Raw genomic sequence first — 21,330 nt, 5'->3', positions numbered from 1 at the left:
CTTCAAAAACAAAAAAAAAAAAACGGTTTTATACCCTATATACTATCCTGAAACTTGCTTTTTTCACTGAATATTGTATCTAGGACATCTTTCCATGCCTAGCATATATAGCATTGCATCATTCTTTTTAAGGGCTGCAAGGTCAGAGATCGTTAGGGATATGACAACATAGGTTAAATGACAAAAGAGAGAATGACTGGCATCTTCCACATAAGGACAAGCATACCCACAACCAGAATTTCTCATCCACTTTCAACTTGAAATAGGCATCTTGTGATTGAGTCTATAGATCAGCAAAGCTCTGGACTGACCAGGAAAGAGATTAGCATTGTATCAGTGTCCACGAAGATACAAGTATGAAATTTGATTCCTTTGGGAACTATTCTGGTCTTTTATTTTTTCTATGTTTTCAGTGCCAGTTATGATAACAGGTATACAGTAAGAACTTCATAAATGCCTGCAAAGTCAATAAATGAAACCATCAATGCATTGAATGCACATAAAAACTCTACACAGGAATTCTTGATACAGAACTGCTGCACCATACTGCATACTGCTAATGCTTAATAGTTAGATAGCCCTCCTCAGTCCATCAGACTCCCACAAAGAAAGTGATCCAACTTGCAGGCCGGGCATGGTGGATCATGCCTGTAATCCCAGCACTTTGGGAGGCCGAGGAGGGCGGATCAACAGGTCAGTAGATGGAGACCATCCTGGCTAACACGGTGAAACCCCGTCTCTACTAAAAATACAAAAAATTAGCCGGGCATGGTGGCGGGCGCCTGTAGTCCCAGCTACTCGGGAGGCTGAGGCAGGAGAATGACGTGAACCCGGGAGGCGGAGCTTGCAGTGAGCCGAAATCGCGCCACTGCACTCCAGCCTGGGTGACAGTGCGAGACTCCATCTCAAAACAATTAAAAAAAAAAAAAAAAGAAAAGGAAGTGATCCAACTTGCAAACTTGCAAGTATGGTTGGAACTTCAAGGGGAAGTCTGGCAACAATCAGGTCTGGGATTCTGAGGCAGTTCCCTGGCCATCCCTCAGCTTGACTGCAGTGTGCCTGCTAAATGTCACCTGTTGTTAAAATGCTCTGGGCTTGGACTTCCTCACCTCGGGAAAGTTAACCTGTTGAAAAGGTTTTTCGCTTAGGTAGAAAAATACAGCCATATAAATAAAATATGAAGACATATATCCAGCATATATAATCTTCAACCGAGCCATGCCCATGATTCTGTAACCACACATGTGATCACCACCAAACAAAGGATGGCGTGACTACGATATACCCTAGAGGATCACATATTGAACAGAAATGCAGAAATTTCAAATGCAGAAATTAGAAATTTGGATTGAGTTAGGGAGTGAGATGGGATGAAGAGATGGTCACAGGTACTGTTCCTCAAACAGGAATGGTGTACTGGATCTAGGGTTTGTCTTAGCAAGAAAACACAAATCTTCTGCACAGTGCACAGTTGAAAGGGTCACTATAGTGGGTTGAATAGTGTTCCCTCAAAGGTCATGTCCACTTGGAACCTCAGAATGTGGTCATATTTGCAAATAGGGTCTTGCAGATGTAATTAGTTAAAAATGAGGTCCTATTGGATTAGGGTAGGCCTTAAATCCAATGACCAGTTTTCTTCTAAGAAGAGAAGAAACACAGAGAGACAGGGAAGAAACCCATGTGACCAGCAGAGTTGACTTGACATGAGACTTGTGTAGGTGAGCTGTGAAGCAGAGCAAAGGCCGTGGAGGCATCCCCATCCCACACGGGCTTCTCTAGAAGCTGGTGGTTGGTGAGAGGCCCTCTGTAACCATGTTCTTAGACGCCTTAAAAGCCAACTGTCCACAGACACTTTTGAGCTTGGTTAAATGCTTGTAAAGAAAGCACATTAACTTCAATTACGCTGTGTTCTTCTGAGGACCTCGCAGGGTATAAACTAATCCTCAGCTCATTTATCTTTGAGGCAGAAGCATCATAGGCCAAGTGCAGGCCCAGGAAGCTCCTCACCCAAGAAGCTACTAGTGCAGCCCTTTGACACTCAGAGAGTAGCTGTGTTCAACTAATGTCAACCAAAACTTCTACCCCATTGACTGCCTTTCAAAGTTTCAAAATTGCTTTGCCAAGTGATGGACATTGCAGTTGGATAGGAAGTGGGAGATGTGAATATGAGAAACTGGCACTCATCATCCACTTCACTTTCCCTCCATGGTTCACAGGCCGGAAAGCTAAAAACTGCATTTCCTAGGCTCTCTTCCAGCCGGGGTTTGATTTACAATTCAGTCCTCCAAATTAGTTGCACATGGGAGATTTGGAAGATGGAAGTGAGGGAGGGACTATCTTTCCTGCTGCTTCTCCTGTTGCTATTTGCAAACAGGTTTATGGAGGCAGGAGCTTCTCTACAGCAGGGTTCCAGGGCCCTGTCTCCACTGGGTGACTGCTGAGTGGCTATTCTGGTGGTGGTAGTGAAGTTTTCTTGTTCGTTATGTTGCAGCTAAGGTGATCTGTTCTTGGAGTTAACAGTTTCCAGGGCCCTGTCTCCACTGGGTGACTGTTGAGTGGCTATTCTGGTGGTGGTAGTCAAGTTTTCTTGATGGTTATATTGCAGCTAAGGTGATTTGTTCTTGGAGTTAACAGTATCAGCAGTGGCCTCCTGATTCACATCTGTTCCAGGCCATAGCAGAAGGAAACAGAGGTGGCTTCCCTGGCAGGTCAGATCAGCAATTCATTCTGAAATCATCTGGAATCCCAGCCTCACATCCCCCAACCCAAGCCTTTCCAACAATTTTGAACATGCCCAATTCCCTGTAAAGATATTCTTTGACTTATGACTTAAAATAGATTTTTTTAATGGAAAAGCTTATTTTTTATACATTTAACAGATTTATTGAACATCTATGTTGAAGGTGCTTTTCTAGACCTCAAACGCTAAGACAACATGGTGTAACGGAAATAGCACACACTCTTCATAAAGAAGCGAACTCTTACTCTGCCCCAGCTATGTGGCTTTGGGTGAGTTACTTAATCTCTGCAAGCCTCAGTTTTATCATCTGGATGAATATAGATATGACGAATAATTACCTCTAGGGTTGTTCTAAGAGTTACATGAAACAAACAATACACTCTACATAAAAGATGCTCTGTGTTCATTACCTTTCATTTTCCTTGAAACATGTAAAAATGAAATATTGACTTTAAATAGTTTGAGCAATATTCAATAGTACTGAGTATTAGTTTATTGTTTCCAAATGAAACTTTATCACTTCCCTGATTAAAACCCTACGATGGCTTTCTGTGACAGCTAGACTAAAATTCAAATTCCTTACTTTAGCCTACAAGGCCTTCACCAGCCTCCACCATACTCTCCAAATTCTCCTGTAAAACATTTCAGCCACGGGTACCATTTTTGTTCCTGCACATTGCCAAGCTCATGCCAATCTTAGAGACTTTGCCCTGGCTGTTCCCCATGCCTGGAATGCCCTTCCTCCAGGGCTTCTCATGCCTGCTTCTGTTCATGCAAGACTCCCTTCAAATGCCCCATCACCATCCCCCATTCATTTTTGAACACATGCTTCCTCCTTTAATCTTCTATGACACTTGTTACCACCTGGTGCTTTCTTGTATATGTGTGTACTGCTGGTCTCCCCAGTTAGAATGTAAGTACTTGCATCATTTGAGGAGAGACCTCAACTCTCTTGTTTGTTATTGCATCTCCGCTTTTCAGAAAGGTGCCCATTGGATAAAAGATATGCAATACGTATTTACTGAATGAATGAATTCTTCAATCAAAAATCTCTGAAGATAATGGTTTAAAGAAAAACACTTCATAAAATTGAACTGTTACTGGTATCACTAGAGGTATTCCAGTACACAACTAAGCAAAAAATATATCTAGCTTTCAAAAAAATTTTAAGAACTGGAACAGGACAAAACATCACTGGATGCATTAAAAACCAACCAAGGCCAGGCGCAGTGGCTCACGCTTGTCATCCCAGCACTTTGGGAGGCTGAGGCGGGTAGATCACGAGGTCAGGAGATCGAGACCAGTCTGGCCGACATAGTGAAACCCCCCGTCTCTACTAAAAATACAAAAAATTCGCCAGGTGTGGTGGTGTGCACCTATAATCCCAGCTACTCGGGAGGCTGAGGCAGGAGAATTGAGTGAACCCAGGAGGCAGAGGTTGCAATGAGCTGAGATCGTGCCATTTTACTCCAGTCCAGGCGACAGTGCCAGACTCCATCTCAAAAACAAACAAACAAAAACCAAATACACACACACACACACACAGTTCCTGCAAAGTTCCTTCTCCAATTGCACCTCTCTCTTTCCTAGATATAGTTGTATTATGCTTACTTCTGTTCCTTGGACAGATTCTCCCACTTTAAGAATTTTTGCGGCTTTCCTGAATTTCACTATTCCCGGTGATTCTCTCCGAGCAGAGATAGAGGGAGTAAAATGCACAATGCCGACTCTCTGGTAAAGACAGGTTATAGAAACACCCATGGAGCACTTCTTCCAGACTCCTCCACTGCAGGTTGAGCTTTGTTCTAGAAACATGGATTGAGAAGCCTCTTCATTGGCGCTGGAGACTGTGTGTGGCCTTCAGCCAAAGTGGGTGTGGGGTTCTGCAGTCTCCATGACACCACGTGCGAGGGCTGGCTCCAGGAGGCCCTGCACTCTGCTTGTGTGCCATGACATAAGCCCCAGTCTTAACATTTCAGATGGTCAGCAAATAGCTGTAGGGAACATCTGAAGTGAAGTCCAAAGTCAGGTAAAGCCAGATAATTCTATTGGAGGCAGCACCACTTTTATGTTATGGAAAACACTAATCAAGTTGAGACTGTTACCCTTTGCTAGACATCTTTTTCTTTTCTATAATGAAATGATCCCCATTCTTCAGTCCCTGAAACTTCCAACATTTTTGAAAAACAATAAGCGCTGAGGTTTCCATAACCATACTGCTTGCCTTCTGCTATACCCAGGGGGAAATGTAATTATAAATTATAAAATGCAATTTGAACAAACAAAATAAAACATAATACAAATTAGGGCTAGTTCCTGGAAAAACAACAGGGCCTGCTCTGCATATGCCCTAATCTCTGTTACTGATCTACTGGCAAAATAGCCACTCCAGGAAGCATTTGGAGGGGCCCGTGTGCCAGAAAGCACTCTCATGCTTTCCAATTGTCAGTCAAGTGACAGAGTATTCCTATGTCAGTCCACACATGATGTTCCAACAAAGCTGGCCCCTTTTCAGGGCCTGGGATATAAGTTGCTTGCAGTGTAAGAACGATAATAATAGCCAGCTTGGGTGATCGAAGGAAACCTGGAACCCAAGTGATATTCACTTAGGTGAGGTGTCTGTGTCCTTTACACCGTATACTTTTGCAAATAGTAGGCAGTTTGATATGGCTTGGCTGTGTCTCCACCTAACTCTCATCTTGAACTGTAGCTCCTATTATTCCCATGTGTTGCGGAAGGGACCCAGTGGGGGATAATTGAATCATGGGGGCGGTTCCCCCATACTGTTCTCGTGGTAGTGAATAAGTCTCACGAGAGTTGATGGTTTTATAAGGGGTTTCCCCTTTCACTTGGCTCTCATCTTCTTTTGTCTGCCCCCATATAAGACATGCTTTTCACTTTCTGCCATGATTGTGAGGCCTCCCCAGCCATGTAGAACTGTGAGTCCATTAAACCTCTTTTTTCTTTTAAATAAATTATCCAGTCTCGGGTATATCTTTATCAGCGGCATGAAAACGGACGAATACATACCTCATATTTTCACTCTTACCTTTAAGTTTTGTATCTATAAGTATGAAACCTGCATCACATTGTTTTCATGAAATGATCTTTGCATGAATGATGGGTAAGTGTGATACTCCCTGAAACCTAGAATTTTGGTCTTAATAGATATCCCCCAAATATTTGCTCTTTACTCTTAGTATTTTACATGTGGTTTCACAGGAATTCCCTTTGACAATTATGCTTTCAGCATATCTTTTAGAGGAGCATTTATTGAACAATGGGTTACAATGTTTACATTCACTGAGGTAAAGTGAGCTATCACCCTCACCATCACACCGTGACATGCCACCACTGCTACAGCTACTATTATGGTTTCTCCCAGGTAATATCTAATATTTGCCAGGCACTGCTCTAAGCACCTAGCATGTAGTAGCTCACTTAAGCCTCACAATATCATTGTGAGGTAGATGCTATTATTATTTCATTTTACCCAGGAGGAAACTAAAGTATAGACAGGCTCAGGAACTCACTCAGAGACATCAGCTAGATGTACGGTGTCAGGATATGAACGTAGATAGGACATAAGACTCCCCTAATCAATGTAGTCATTGTATATAAACATGATGCCTTCTTACCCTCAAGAACCACAGAGATGCATAGAGGATACATTTAGGCAAATAGATGATTCCAGTCCTGGAATTTTAAAACCAATGTTTTAAAACAATGTTTTAGGTCTTAATTTTCTACACACTGGGCATACAGATTCATTAAAGAAATAAGCTAAAAGAAGATTGGAGAGGACACTCCTCTCTTCATATTCTTTCCCAATTCGTTTGTTCTCTGCCTGGCTATAAACTGTGATCCCCGTAAATCTCAGATTTGCAGTGACTTCATCAATTATTCAGCCTCAATTGTTCAGTAAATACACATGTACGTATACCCTGTGTTAGGCTCAGAAAATGTGGCACCAGATCCCAAAATGCAACTGTGCTGTTTTTCATTGCTCTGCTGTTTTTCCCAGGGCCTGCTGCTTCTTCCTTCTTAGCACCTTGGCTCCATCTCTTACTCTTCACTCTGCAAGCCAAGCCCTGATTATAGCTCAACTGGGATGTTGCAACTGCCTTCTCTTGGGGCCTCCCTGACTTCAGTGATCCACCCCTTCCAAACATCCTGCATCCTGCTACCAGACTTTTCACTGAAGTATAGACAATTAATTGCTTATAGTATCAAAATCCAAACTCCTTTGCCTGACTTGTGAAGCCTTCATGATCACACCCCACCCTCTCTATTCAATTTTCTTTCCCACGAAGTCAATACACAGTCACTGAGTCACTGTGAGCTTAACTGAAGAGGCAGCAACCCACATGCCTCTGCAACTGCTATTTTTCTCACCTTGGATGACCTCCCAATCACTCAGGTATCCAGCTCTCTAAATTTTACCCATTGCTCAAAAGCCTAGCTCAAGTCTCAGTTCTATTATTAAACTTTCCCTACTGTTGCAGCAGCCAGCTTTCACTTCTTTCTCTTACCTCCTATTAAAAGTTAATAATTATTTACATGACAGTAATGAAGAGCTAACTTCTACTGAGCACTTCCTATATACCATATCCTGTTGGGATAAATAGTTTTATTATTCCTGTTTTGCAGATGAAGAAACACAGGCACAGAAAAGAAGACAATTCTGGTTAACACCTGATTGTTTGCTAATCATTTTGTGTGACCTCTCTAACTAGCTTTCCACTTCCTTGAGAGCAGAGACTAAGCTCATATTTATCCTGTGCCTCCTACACAGCTAGCAGAGTGCTGGGTGCAGTATAAGTGATTAGTTAGTATAGTTGGGTGGTCATTTATACATGTCGATGTTATGCATCTCTACCCTACAAGAGTGACCATGGAGGGTAAAATTTCTACCCTATAAGAGTGAACATGTTTGTACAATGTGCGCATAAATGTTAAACCAACCCTTTAGCGCACAATGATGAATGGTTTGGGGGAGTTTATGGTCTAAAAGTGGCCCTATGTGATTTTTTTTCTAAGTTACTCTCACTACTTCCATCTTCTCACTCACTTGAAACGTTAAAGATTGGAAATCACAGATGGGCTGTCAGTAATTAATGACATAATTAACTAGCATTTTTGGAGGGCTACAAGGTAGGGGAGGTTGTTAATTCTGCCCTGGCCAACACCTGGGTCTTCTGATTTTATTAAAAATCAGGTGGCAGCAAAATTTTCCCAAGGAACCAAATATTTGTACCACAATATTATAGGTTTTCTCCGAATTTCTTCTGGCACATTTTTTTTCTTTTGACAACTATGGTGTGTACAGACCTAAATTCATCAAAGATAAATATTACAGTATAACTGTCAATGCAAAGGAGGCAAAGACTATGATTTAGGCTAAAGATAGCATCCCGATCTGTTTTCTCCTCGTGGTCCCCGACTTCCATCTCATAGGGACTATGCCTTTTTAGTTTTCTTAAGGATACCAAAATATGTCTGCTAAAATATTCTCTTTCCTGCAATAGTATTTTTTAAAGGTATAATTATTTATTCCATTCTTCATAGGCATACTTTCCAGTTTCTCTTTCCCACACCCATTCTTTGAGGAACACCATATGGAAGAACTCACGAGATTCCTCCTCCCTCCCACTTCAGATCAATGCTTAACAAAAGCCAACACCATAGAGAAACATTTTATTTCAAAATTTTTACATTGGCTCAATTGGAATTCATGAATTCCTGAGTGAATTCTCATAAGCACTAAAATAGATACTTTTTAACCAAAACATCAAATTAGAAAACTTATCTTACCAAAGTCATTCTACTTTACGTTTCCACTGACTACTATTCATTCTCACTGATGCCAGCGCTTTTCTTCACTTGGAAAAAAAATCCAATGAGAAGGAAAAAAAATGCATATAATATATCTTGTATCTTTCCGCAGTTTCTTAAAGCCTCAGCTTATTAGGATTTCCTCATTGCCAGTTGAAGCCAGATACACAATTGAAGCCATGTGATCCTATAATAATTTCAGTTTTACAGACATGCTGGCTTGAAAAGCATGCTGTTGAAGAAGTCATTTTCAAACTAAAATCACTCAGTTACAGAAAACATTATCTCATTTTTTTTAGTTGGGGGAAAGATATAACATGTCATATAACATGCTATAGAAAAAAACAGTCTGGGTGCAGTGGCTCACACCTGCAATCCTAGCACTTTGGGAGGCTGAGGCAGGTGGATCACCTGAGGGCAGGAGTTGGAGACCAGCCTGGCCAACATGGCAAAACCCTGTCTCTATTGAAAATACAAAATTAGCCAGCATGGTGGCACGTGCCTGTAATCCCAGCTACTTGGGAGGCTCAGGCACAAGAATCACTTGAACCCCAGGGACAGAGGTTGCTGTGAGCTGAGGTCGTGCCACTGCACTCCAGTCTGGGTGACAGAGTGAGATTCTGTCTCCAAAAAAAAAAAAAAAAAAAGAAAAAGAAAAGAAAGAAAGAAAGAAAAGAAAAAGAAAAGAACACTAGCTCATTATGGAGAACATGAAATATACTGCTCTTTTCCCATTTATCAATTTTTGCTTACCCAATTTAAAGTTTATAATACTTAAATTTTTTTTCAACAGCATCTGTCAGCTTTTGCATACAGTTTTATAATCATATTCAAGGCAATTATTTATTTTATATTTTGAATAGTCTCCAACACTCACTGCAAGTCATCTTCTACTTGTTTCCCCCCTTGTATCCTCATGCCAATTCACCTATTAATCAATGGGGCTGCAAATTAAAATTCTTTTTTCAAGAAGGGACTGTGTGGTGTGTATTTTCTGTCTTCTTGTAAATATGAAAATGAATTCCTACAGCCTTTGCACGTAAACATCACGTTGGGTGAACATGGAATTCTTGAGATACCACCTTGTCTCCTAAAATGGTGTTTTAGCCTTCAGGGTTGAGAAGTCTGATCCCATCCTAATGTTCATTTCCTTGTTAGTAACCTGTTTATTTCTCTATAAATCTCTGATTCTTTCTTTAACCTGGAAAATCAAAACATTTTACAAGCTATGTCTCTATGTGAGTCTGGTAATTTTAATTCATCTCAGATCTCTTCTGCAGGCAGGAAAGTTTTCTTCTGCCATATGTTTGAACATTGTTTCTAGTATTTTGTTCAATTTCTTCATTGGGAACAAATGTAACTCCTAGATTAGATCTGTGTTTTCTGTCTTCTCGCTGAACGCTTTCATCTTAATCCTTTCACTCCTTAATTTGTGTTCTACTTTACTGGTTTGATTTCTGCAGTCTTCCCTATAGTTACTCTCTTCAGTAGAAGTTTTAATTCTGCTATTATAGTTTTGGTATATTTGCCCTTATTTCTTATTTCAACCTTTGCCAATCTGCCTGCATCCCAATCTATTTTCTCCTGATGGCCCCTGACTCCCATCTCATAGAGGCTATGCCTTCTCAGTTTTCTTAAGGGATACCAAAAATATGTCTACTGAAAAAGTCTCTTTCCTGGAAAAATTTATTTTTGGATATGTAGTCTTGCTTCAAGTTTTAATGGAAAAGCTTCTTTTCCCTTATCTTGCAGTATTCTTTTTATAGGTCCCCTTTGGGCATCTCTCCACCTATTCATACTGGAAAAGAGAACACTATGTTCACTCCTGGCACTTGCCAGCAGAGTATTGGTGAAGGGTCTTCATACTCCCTCACTCTCCTCTTGAGTGCAAGTAAAGCAGGTATAAAGAGTAAACTGGTGAAGATAGTTTCTACCTGTTTTCAAAGTCCACAGAGATTTAGCTTGTTCAGGTGTCTCAGCATTAGGTTGGGGTCTCTCCTGCTCCAACTGCTGCAATTTCTGACTGGTAAAAGAAAGACTGGGAGGCAATCTACGGTCCTGTTTTAGACAGCAGCACATAAAAGACCACATTCCCTCCCAGCATGCGTTGGCCCCTGCCTTCTTATCTCTCTCCCTGTTACGGTCCTTTTTATTACATAGCATCCATTCTAAGATGCAACACACCTCTGCTTGTCTCTATGCCCAGCTGTGGTCTGGGAGCCAGAGTCTCCGAATGGATGTGGAAAGAGAGAAATTGATAGTTTGAGTGGAAGGCATGACTCTGGATTTGACTTCTGTTGGTGCAGAAGATAGTTGAACGGTTCCTAGTTGAACCATTTACTTTTCTGGCCAGGGCAGCCCCAGGGTCCTAAAATAGCCGGGGGCAAATGATGAGGGCAAGGTACATTTGTTCTCTATTATGTTTCAGTACCAGCTGGGCTTCTCTGGTTCAGCATGTAAGCACGTGCTTACATGCTTCTCAATCCATTCCATCGACAATTACGTTAGTAGACATTCTCTGTGGACCTCAGCATATGGCTTTTCTCCATCTTAAATTTACAGCTTATTGTCCTCCCTTTTTCACGCTTTTCATGTAATTTCATGAGCACTTTGGCAAAAAGTTTGGGAAAAGGCATCTCAGTTATTACCTGTTTCATCCTTTGATGATCTAGAAAGTTTATAAATGAGAATTTTAAATGTTGCTAGCTAGAATATACAGGTAAACCATAATAGCATATCTATGTTAGGTTTTGAATCCAACCCAAGGGGGAAAATAGAGGTTTCCTCATGGCGCTCATAGATTCAACAAATAGAGAAACCACGAAATATGCTAATAGCATCACAATGGCTCATGCTGTATGTAGAGAGGAAAAGAAAGCTGTAAGATCTTAGGTGGCCACAGCCCTCCTAGAACCTGGGGCTAAGAACACTCTCTGAAGTTGAACATATTATCAATTTGGAATGGGTGAAATCAGCTCGTAGCAAAAGTTACTCCTGACATCATAGTGCTTCCTAACTCTATGGCAAAGAGGACAGTTTGTTTACTTCATTGAACCATGAAAAATAAGGCATTTCTTAAATCTAATCAGGAGCTAGGTGACCCACATATATCCTCAGGTTCCAATGCTGTTAATGTAAATCAATTTGTACCCAAATAAATGGCATAGTCTCCTGGATGAGGAAATAATGAAAAATATAATTGGCTTGGAATCTAGGAAAAGGGGGACCAGAGAATACAAATTTGTGTATTCTGACACCATCTAAGAGAGAGAGCATGTCTTGGCTAGCTTAAACAAGCATTGTCACTCTCTTGGCAGGTACATCTATGCATTGGAAGTGGGGATTATCATAACTGATGACTCTGTCATTCAGACTGTCTAGCTCACTTTTCCCTGAGCCAGTGAGCAACCTCTCATTTTTCACATAAGGCTTTCCCTCAGTTTAGAAAAATATCTCTGCAGAAAGAACATGGCTCTATGGCTGAACAGATAATAGAACCTAAATCTTTAGTGCAGTGTTAATAGCTTGACTCCAGTTACAGCTGTTTGATAGGGCAAAATGAGTCACGCTGTGAACAAAACATTCTGTATCATTTTTGTTCGCCCACCTCTCCCATGTTCAAAGGCCTTCTGTGGTTCCCCATTGCCTTCACATTCAATTCCAAGCTTTTGAATCTGTCTCTCAAGATCCTTCTCAAACTTATCCTGCATCACTCCCCAGTGTGGGCTGGCCCACTCCAATGCCATCCCAAATACCCACACTCATTCTCTCCTCTCTCCCTTGGCTCCAGCTGTCTTCTACCTGGGAGAATTCTCCCTCTTCCTTTCTACAAACCAAAATCTCACTAGTTCAAAGGCAAATTCAAGACCACTGTGCCCTCTGAAAACTCCTCCGGCCCCACCAGCCCCACTGATTTCTGCATTTCAGATGCACTGCCTAGGATTCTGAGGCCTAAATCTTTCCCGCCAGTCCCAAACTGCCATTGTAAATTCCTGTTGACTTTGCTACCACTCCACCCTCTTCTCTGTTATCTAAGCATAATGAACTTTTGTGATGTAGTGTTTAACTGCTTTGTCTTTCAGAGTTCTAAGGGCAGGGAAATTTCCAACTCCTGTCTCTATTCTCACTTTGCTAATCACAGCAATGATGACAAATAAGCACCCCAGCGTTTTCCTAACTTGAAATGAAATTGAAATCTGTACACACGGTTAAAATCCAGACCTAGAAGTGATGCTGTGATTAAAAGCATGGGCTCTGGATAGAGAGAGATCTGGATTCAAACCCCTGCTTATCTATTTTTATCTATAAACTTAGGGCAAGTGACATAGATTCTCTAAGCCAAGTGTTCTCATCTGTAACAAATAGATTTCGTAGGGTTTTTGTGATGATAAATGAGATAATGTGATACGTGCTCAATAAATGTTAACTATGATTAGTAAGAAGAGCTCCAGGGGATGTCTTCCTTTGAGTCATGCAGCTTTGAGAATGCTGGGATAGCTCTAGGTCAGGGGAAATTGCATAGGATTTTAATACATCTTGGGATTTAAAAAAAAAAAAAAAGTAAAGAAAGCATAGAAATTAGCTCCAAGACCAGGACTACAAGTCCTTAGTAATAAGTGGGAGATAAAGATGCTCCTGCCTCAAGGGTGTGGCTGGGAATAAGAGAAAGGGGTAGGCGGAGAAAGTACTGCTCTCAAAAGGCAGAAAACTCCCTGAGATAGAGCCAGAAGCCTATGCCCTAACCTGGGGCACAGGTCCAGAATCAGCAAGAGAGGTTTTTGGTGAGAATCCAGGTAATACCTTCATATGAAAGGTGTACTAGTTTCAATCTGTTCAAATTTCCTCAATGGAGGGTGTGTAGAACAGGAAGAACAGGCCTACTTCTGGAAGCATAAAGAGTCGTGCTCACTTACTGGCCAGGTCATTTTAGGTTGGTCAGAAGCTGTGACCTCTGGAGAAACACTGTCTGCCAGGGTCAGAGTCAGCTGAGGCAGCAGAGGAGCAGTAGTGATGGTGGCCATGCGCGGTTACTTAGAAACTGCAACAGACCAACAAGTGGCTGGGTCAAGATCAGCCTTTACTGGCCTTTTAAAATAAGATAGGCCATGAATTAGAACCAACACAAAACTGGGAGGTAGCTGAGACCACATACACATATAATTTAAAGCCAAATCCTGATTGTCTCCAAGGCTAGTACAGCCCTAGAAAACTCCAGCTGTAAATCATTATCCTGACGTGGGAAGCACAAGCAGCAGGACCGGCAGGGGCAGAAGCTCAGCTCTCACTTTATTCCCAGTGCTTTTCCTGTTGGCCTGGGCACCCTCATTTGGATGACTTCCAAAAGACTTGAGCTCATTATACCTCATTTGAAAATTATTTCCCAAACTGCTCAAGGGTATCAACTAATAAGTGTTCAAGGGGTAACCATTAGGTCTTATCACATGTAGGGACAAATATTCTCCTAAGGAAGGATACACTACATTATCCTCAATTAAATCTGGTAACAGACTTAAAGCACAGCCTTGGGGATTAACTTGGTAAGGTGGCTAAACAAAGATTCCTGGCGCCTCAGTGCTTGAGTACTAGGAGCATTTCAAAGATTTACATGAACCAGAAATCTGGGTGAGGGGAACAGGGCTGCTCAGAATTTTTGACAGGGTGCTTCAGCTGTGAGGCTAAGTTCAGGTGAGCTGAGGCTAAGATTCAGGAACTGAAAAGGAGGGTCCCTGTTGGTTCTCCTTGAATAAGTCTTTCTCTCACAGTTAAAATCATTCCTTCAGCAGGCTGGGTGCGGAGGCTCACACCTGTAATCCCAGCACTTTGGGAGGCTGAGGTGGGCAGATCACGAGGTCAGGAGATCGAGGCCATCCTGGCTAGCACGGTGAAACTCTGTCTCTACTAAAAATACAAAAAATTAGCCAGGCGTGGTGGCAGGTGCCTGTAGTCCCAGCCACTCGGGAGGCTGAAGCAGGAGAATGGCGTGAACCTGGGAGGTGGAGCTTGCAGTGAGCTGAGATCGCACCACTGCACTCCAGCCTGGGCGACAGAGAGAGACTCCGTCTCAAAAAATAATTATTATTATAATAATAATAATTCCTTCAGCAATTGAGCCAGAGAAAGAAGTCCCTAGAACACCCAGCATTCTGAAATTTCACAGTGATGAGTCTTTGAGTCTTGGTGTAGCTCTTTAACCTTCATTGTGCTGGGTCCTATGTAGGTCTTTTGAAGCTGGTAAACTGTGTCCTTCACTTAGGGGAAATATATGCATATTCTTAATTTATAAAGAAAAGAAATTTATTTCTAACCGTTCTAGAGGCTGGAAAGTTCAAGATCAGGCATTACCAGGTCCAGTTGCCTCATAGGGTCTGGTGTCTGCCCCTAAGATGGCACCTTGAATGCTGCGTCTTCTGGAGAGATGGACAGTGTGTCCTCACATGGCAGAGGCAGAAGGGCAAAAGGAACAAATTCCCTCCTCCAGCCCTTTATAAGGGCATAAAATGGGAAAATATTCTTATATCATTTCTTGGGTAATTTTCTCCTCTTGTTTTCCTTTTTCCTATTTTTCATTTTCTTTCTTTCTTCTTTTTTTAAACTCTGTTATTATTTGAATGCTGGGCTTCCTAGAGAAATCCTCTTGGACTCTTGTCATTTATCTACCACTTTCTATCACTATTGTTTACTTTGTTGTTATTGTTCCATTTGCTGTGAGATTTCTTCAACTGTATTAACTGAACCTTATCTAAATGTACATATTTTTAAATTTTAGTTACCATGTCTTCATTTTCCAAGAATGCCGAATGTTTCTTTAAAAACAGCACTGGGAATTTTATAATGATAAAAAGAATAATTCATCAGGAAGACATCAATTTTTTTTTTTTTTTTTCGAGACGGAGTCTGGCTCTGTCACCCAGGCTGGAGTGCAGTGGCGCTATCTCGGCTAACTGCAAGCTCCGCCTCCTGGGTTCACGCCATTCTCCTGCCTCAGCCTCCCAAGTAGCTGGGACTACAGGCGCCTGCCACCACGCCCGGCTAATTTTTTGTTGTTGTTGTTGTATTTTTAGTAGAGACAGGGTTTCACTGTGTTAGCCAGAATGGTCTTGATCTCCTGACCTCATGATCCACCCGCCTCCACCTCCCAAAGTGCTAGGATTATAAGCGTGAGCCACCGCACCTGGCCAGGAAGACATAAATATTATAAATGCATATGCATCTAATAACAGTTCCCAAAAATACATGAAGCAAAAATTCACAGAATTAAGGGGACAGATAGATTCCACAATTATATCAGGTGATTTTAGAACCCCATTAGTAAGCAATTCATAGAAAAACCAGAAAAAACATCTACATAAATACTGAAGGTATGCACAATACTATTGATCACTATCTAACTGGCATTTATGGAACAAACATCCAGCAACTGCAGAATATGTATTCTATTCAAGTTCACATAATACATTTTTAAAAATAGGCCATATGCTGGACAATAAATCAATAAATTTTAATGAATGAAATATACAGAGTGTATTTTCTGGCCACAGTGGAATTAAATGAGAAATCAATAACAATATGGCATCTAGAAAACCCATAAATATCTAGAAATTAAACAACACCATCTTAATTCATAAGTCAAAGACAAAAATCACAAGGGAAACTAAGAAATGTTTTGAACTGAATGAAGATACAATGTACCAAAATTTGTGGAATTCAGCTAAAACAGCTTTAAAATGCATATAAGTAAAAATAGAAAAATTAAAAATCAGAGAATGATAAAAATAAGAGCAAAAAAGATAAAGATAAGAGCAGAAATAACCAAAATAGACAGACAATAGATAGATAAAAGAGAAAATTACCAAAACCAAAAGCTGGTTTTTTTTTGGTTTTTTTTGAGACGGAGTCTCGCTCTGTTGCCCAGATTGCACTGCAGTGGCGCAATCTCGGCTCACTGCAACCTCCGCCTCCCGGGTTCAAGCAATTCTCCTCCCTCAGCCTCCCAAGTAGCTGCCACTGCGCCAGCTAATTTTTGTATTTTTAGTAGAGACAGGGTTTCACCATATCGGCCAGCCTTGTTTGGAACTCTCGACCTTGTGATCTGCCCACCTTGGCCTCCCGAAGTGCTGGGATTAGAGGCGTGAGCCACCATGCCCCGCCCAAAAGCTGATTTTTTAAAAAAGATTTAAAAAATTGACAAACCCCTAGCTAGATTAATTGAAACACAGAGAGAAAGAGAAACACAAATCACTAAGGAATGAAAAGGGGGTTATCATTATAGATTCTATGAGCATTTTAAATTTTAAAAAAATGAAAAACTTTATGTTATAAACAAAGTTTTTAGATTAAATAAAAAATCTTGGAAAATACAACTTAATTGATCCCAGAAGAAACAGAACATCTGAATAGCCCTGTGTCTATGTAAGTATTAACTTCTTTTTTTTGAGACGGAGTCTGTCTCTGTCAATTTGTTATCCAAAACCTTCCCCCAAATAAAACTCTAGGTGCAAATGATTTCCATAGAAAGGTGAATCAAACATTCATAAAAGAAATAACAGCAATCTTACACAAACATTTTCAGAATATAAAAAGAATACAGGACATGCTGCAACCAATTTTACAACCCTAATACCAAAATCTGACAAAGACATCACGGAAAAAAAAATAAAGTATTTCTCATGATAGACAAAAATTCTTAATAAAATGTTGGCAAATTAAATCCAGAAATATTAAAATAACATATCATGGCAAAGTAGCTTTTTTTTTTTTTTTTTTTTTCTTTTTGAAATGGAGTCTCGCTCTGTCGCCCAGGCTGGAGTGCAGTGGCGCTATCTTGGCTCACTGCAAGCTCCGCCTCCCGGGTTCACGCCATTCTCCTGCCTCAGCCTCCCGAGTAGCTGGGACTACAGGGGCCTGCCACCACGCTCGGCTAAGTTTTTGTATTTTTAGTAGAGATGGGGTTTCACCGTGTTAGCCAGGATTGTCTCGATCTGCTGACCTCGTGATCCGCCCGCCTCGGCCTCCCAAAGTGCTGGGATTACAGGCGTGAGCCATAGGGCCCAGCCATGACAAAGCACATTTTATTCCAGAAATGCAAGATTGATTTAACAATAAAAAATAAATAAATAAATAAAAATAAAAAACAAAAAACAAATGTAGGCTGGGCGCAGTGGCTCACGCCTGTAATCCCAGCACTTTGGGAGGCCTAGGCGGCGGATCACAAAGTCAGGAAATCGAGACTATCCTGGCTAACACGGTGAAACCCCGTCTCTACTAAAAATACAAAAAATTAGCCGGGCGTGGTGGCAGGGGCCTGTAGTCCCAGCTACTCGGGAGGCTGAGGCAGGAGAATGGTGTGAACCTGGGAGGCAAAGCTTGCAGTGAGCCGAGATCGTGCCACTGCACTCCAGCCTGGGCAACAGAGCAAAACACCATCTCAAACAAACAAACAAACAAAACAAACAAACAAAAAAACCAAATGTAATTCACCATATTAACACAATAAAGAAGAAAACCCATATGACTGTTTCAATAGATGTAGAAAAAGCATTCGCAAAATTTATCACCTATTCATAATAAAGAAAGGAAGGAAGGAAATGAAAGCAAGCAAAAAGAAACTCGAGTAAATTGAGAGTAGCAGAGAATTTCCTCAAACTGATAAAGATCATTGACAAAAACATCTACAGCTAACATCATGCTTAATGACAAAAGACTGAATTGTCCCCCTGCCCACCCCCGGGTTTGGGAACAAAGCAAGAATACTTCCCTTCTCTTCTATTCAACATTGTATTGGAGGTTCTAAAAACAATGTCAAATTTTTTAAGAAAAAGGAAAATTATGAAAGAAGTAAAACTGTTCTTATTTTCAATTTTCATAGAAAATTCCCAAGAATCTAGAAAATGCTTATTAGAAAAAATAAGTGAATTTAGCAAAGTCACAGGATACAGTATGCAAATACAACACTTACATTTTTATACACAAGTAGCAAAAATTTTAAAATAAATTTAGAAAAAGTTTTAGTAGCACCAAATAAAAATATAAAATAGGAATAAATCTGCTCCCTCCCCCTCCCCCTCTCCCTCCCCCTCCCCCTCTCCCATCTCTGTCTCCCCTTTGCACCGTCTCCCTCTGATGCCGAGCCGAGGCTGGACTGTACTGCCACCATCTCCGCTCACTGCAACCTCCCTGCCTGATTCTCCTGCCTCAGCCTGCCGAGTGCCTGGGATTGCAGGCGCGCGCCGCCATGCCTGACTGGTTTTTGTATTTTTTTGGTGGAGACGGGGTTTCGCCGTATTGGCCGGGCTGGTCTCCAGCTCCTGACCGCGAGTGATCTGCCAGCCTAGGCCTCCCGAGGTGCCGGGATTGCAGACTGAGTCTCGCTCACTCAGTGCTCAATGTTGCCCAGGCTGGAGTGCAGTGGCGTGATCTCGGCTCGCTACAACCTCCACCTCCCAGCCGCCTGCCTTGGCCTCCCAGAGTACCGAGATTGCAGCCTCTACCCGGCCGCCATCCCGTCTAAGAAGTGAGGAGCGTCTCTGCCCAGCCGCCCATCGTCTGGGATGTGAGGAGCCCCTCTGCCCGGCCGCCCAGTCTGGGAAGTGAGGAGCGCCTCTTCCTGGCCGTCATCCCGTCTAGGAAGTGAGGAGCGTCTCTGCCCGGCCACCCATCGTCTGGGATGTGGGGAGCACCTCTGCCAGGCCGCGACCCCATCTGGGAACTGAGGAGTGTCTCTGCCCCGCCACCACCCCATCTGGGAGGTGAGGAGCGTCTCTGACCGGCCGCCCAGTCTGGGAAGTGAGGAGCCCCTCCGCCCGGCAGCCGCCCCGTCCGGGAGGTTGGGGGCGCCTCTGCCCGGCCGCCCCTTCTGGGAAGTGAGGAGCCCCTCTGCCTGGCCGCTACCCCGTCTGGGAGGTGTACCCAACAGCTCATTGAGAACAGGCCATGATGACGATGGCAGTTTTGTCAAACAGAAAGGGAGGAAGTGTGGGGAAAAGAAAGAGAGATCGGATTGTTGCTATGTCTGTGTGGAAAGAAGTAGACATAGGAGACTCCATTTTGTTCCGTAATAAGAAAAATTCTTCTGCCTTGGGATGCTGTTAATCTATGGCCTTGCCCCCAACCCCGTGCTCTCTGAAACATGTGCTGTGTCCACTAAGGGTTAAATGGATTAAGGGCGGTGCAAGATGTGCTTTGTTAAACAGATGCTTGAAGGCAGCATGCTCCTTAAGAGTCATCGCCACTCCCTAATCTCAAGTACCCAGGGACACAAACACTGCGGAAGGCGGCAGGGCCCTCTGCCTAGGAAAACCAGAGACCTTTGTTCACATGTTTATCTGCTGACCTTCCCTCCACTATTGTCCTATGACCCTGCCAAATCCCCCTCTACGAGAAACACCCAAGAATGATCAATAAGTATTAAAAAAAAAAAGGAATAAATCTACCAGAATATTTTTGAGACTTTTACACTAAAAGCTGCAAATCATGGCTGACAAAAATTAAAGGAGGCTAAAATAGAAAGATATCCCACATTAATGAATTGGAAGACTCAACATGGTTATGATAGCAATTATCCCCAAATTGATTTTTAGAGTCTATGTAATCCTTATCAAAATCCCAGCAAGTTGTTTTATAGAAATTGATAAGCTTCATATAGAACTTACATGAAATTGCAAAGAATCTAGAATAAGGCAGTTTTAGAAGAGGACAAAGTTGGAGTACTTAGCTTTCTTTTAAAATTTATAAAGCTACAGTAATATTAACAACAATTTTGTACTGGTAAAAAGATACATACATCAATAAATAGAATAGAGAATTCAGAAATACACCTATACATATATAACCAATTAATTTATGACAAAGTGCCAAAATGATTCAATGGGGAAAGAAATGGCTTTTCAACAAATGGTACTGGATCAACTACGTATTCATATAGAAAAAATGAATATCAATTTTCATCTCACATAATACACAAATGCTAACTTAAAATACTGGATCATAAAGCTAAAGGTAAACCTCAACTATTAAACTTTCAAAGAATATATAGGAGAAAACTTTTGTGATCTTGGAGGATGCAAAGGATTCTCAGGACTCAAAAAGCATGAATTACAAAAGAAACAAATGGATGAACTCAACTTTTCCAAAATTAAGTTTTTGCTCTTTAAAAGACACAATTAATAAATGTAAATGCAAGAAAATATTTGCAATCTATATAAAAGACTTGTATCCAGAATATATAAATCATTCCTATAGAGCAATAAAGTGACCCATTTTTAATGGGTAAAGTATTCGAACACTTCATGAAATGTACAAGTGCCTGATAAACATGTAGAAAGATGTTCAAGATTGTTATTCATCAGGATAATGAATATTAAAACGACAGTGAAATTTTATACAGCCATTAGAATAACTAAAATTTAAAAGACTGATTATATTAATTCTGGTGAGGATATGGAGCAATTGGAACTCTCATGTACTGCTGGTAGAAGATTAAATGGTACAACCACTTTGGAGAGCAGTTTGATTATTTCTTGAAAAGCTAAATATACACCTACTGACCAACTAGCCATTCTCTTCTTAGATACAGTATTTGCCAATAAAAAAAAAAAGAAAACATGTTTGCACAAAGACTTGCACATGTTCATTGCAACTTTATTTTATATTTGCCCAAAATGAGAAACAACCTAAATGTCCATCATCACGTGACTGCACAAATAGTGGTATATCCATGCAATAGAATACTACCCAGCAACAAAAAGGAACAAACTCTT

General features: G+C 41.3%; 1 protein-coding gene and 1 long non-coding RNA gene across 6 annotated transcripts in view, besides 1 other annotated feature; one reads left to right on the top strand and one right to left on the bottom strand.

Annotated features, from left to right (window-relative positions):
• FRMD6 (FERM domain containing 6) overlaps positions 1–21,330 on the bottom strand; it is a 334,297-nt gene that overhangs the window by 243,768 nt on the left and 69,199 nt on the right. The window lies entirely within an intron of this gene.
• The window catches only part of FRMD6-AS2 (FRMD6 antisense RNA 2), a 145,441-nt gene that overhangs the window by 112,993 nt on the left and 11,118 nt on the right, over positions 1–21,330 (top strand). The window lies entirely within an intron of this gene.
• Positions 18,617–19,331: an enhancer, noted in NCBI's record as "H3K27ac hESC enhancer chr14:51934347-51935061 (GRCh37/hg19 assembly coordinates)". NCBI's record gives its function as "activates a minimal SCP1, AML or CMV promoter by ChIP-STARR-seq in naive H9 embryonic stem cells {active_cell/tissue: H9 hESC(naive)}" and the evidence as "EXISTENCE:reporter gene assay evidence [ECO:0000049][PMID:30033119]".

This window comes from Homo sapiens, chromosome 14, assembly GCF_000001405.40.
Source record: "Homo sapiens chromosome 14, GRCh38.p14 Primary Assembly".
Classification (NCBI taxonomy): domain Eukaryota; kingdom Metazoa; phylum Chordata; class Mammalia; order Primates; family Hominidae; genus Homo; species Homo sapiens.
Note: the sequence above shows the minus strand (reverse complement) of the source record. Positions and strands in the feature narration are given on the sequence as shown.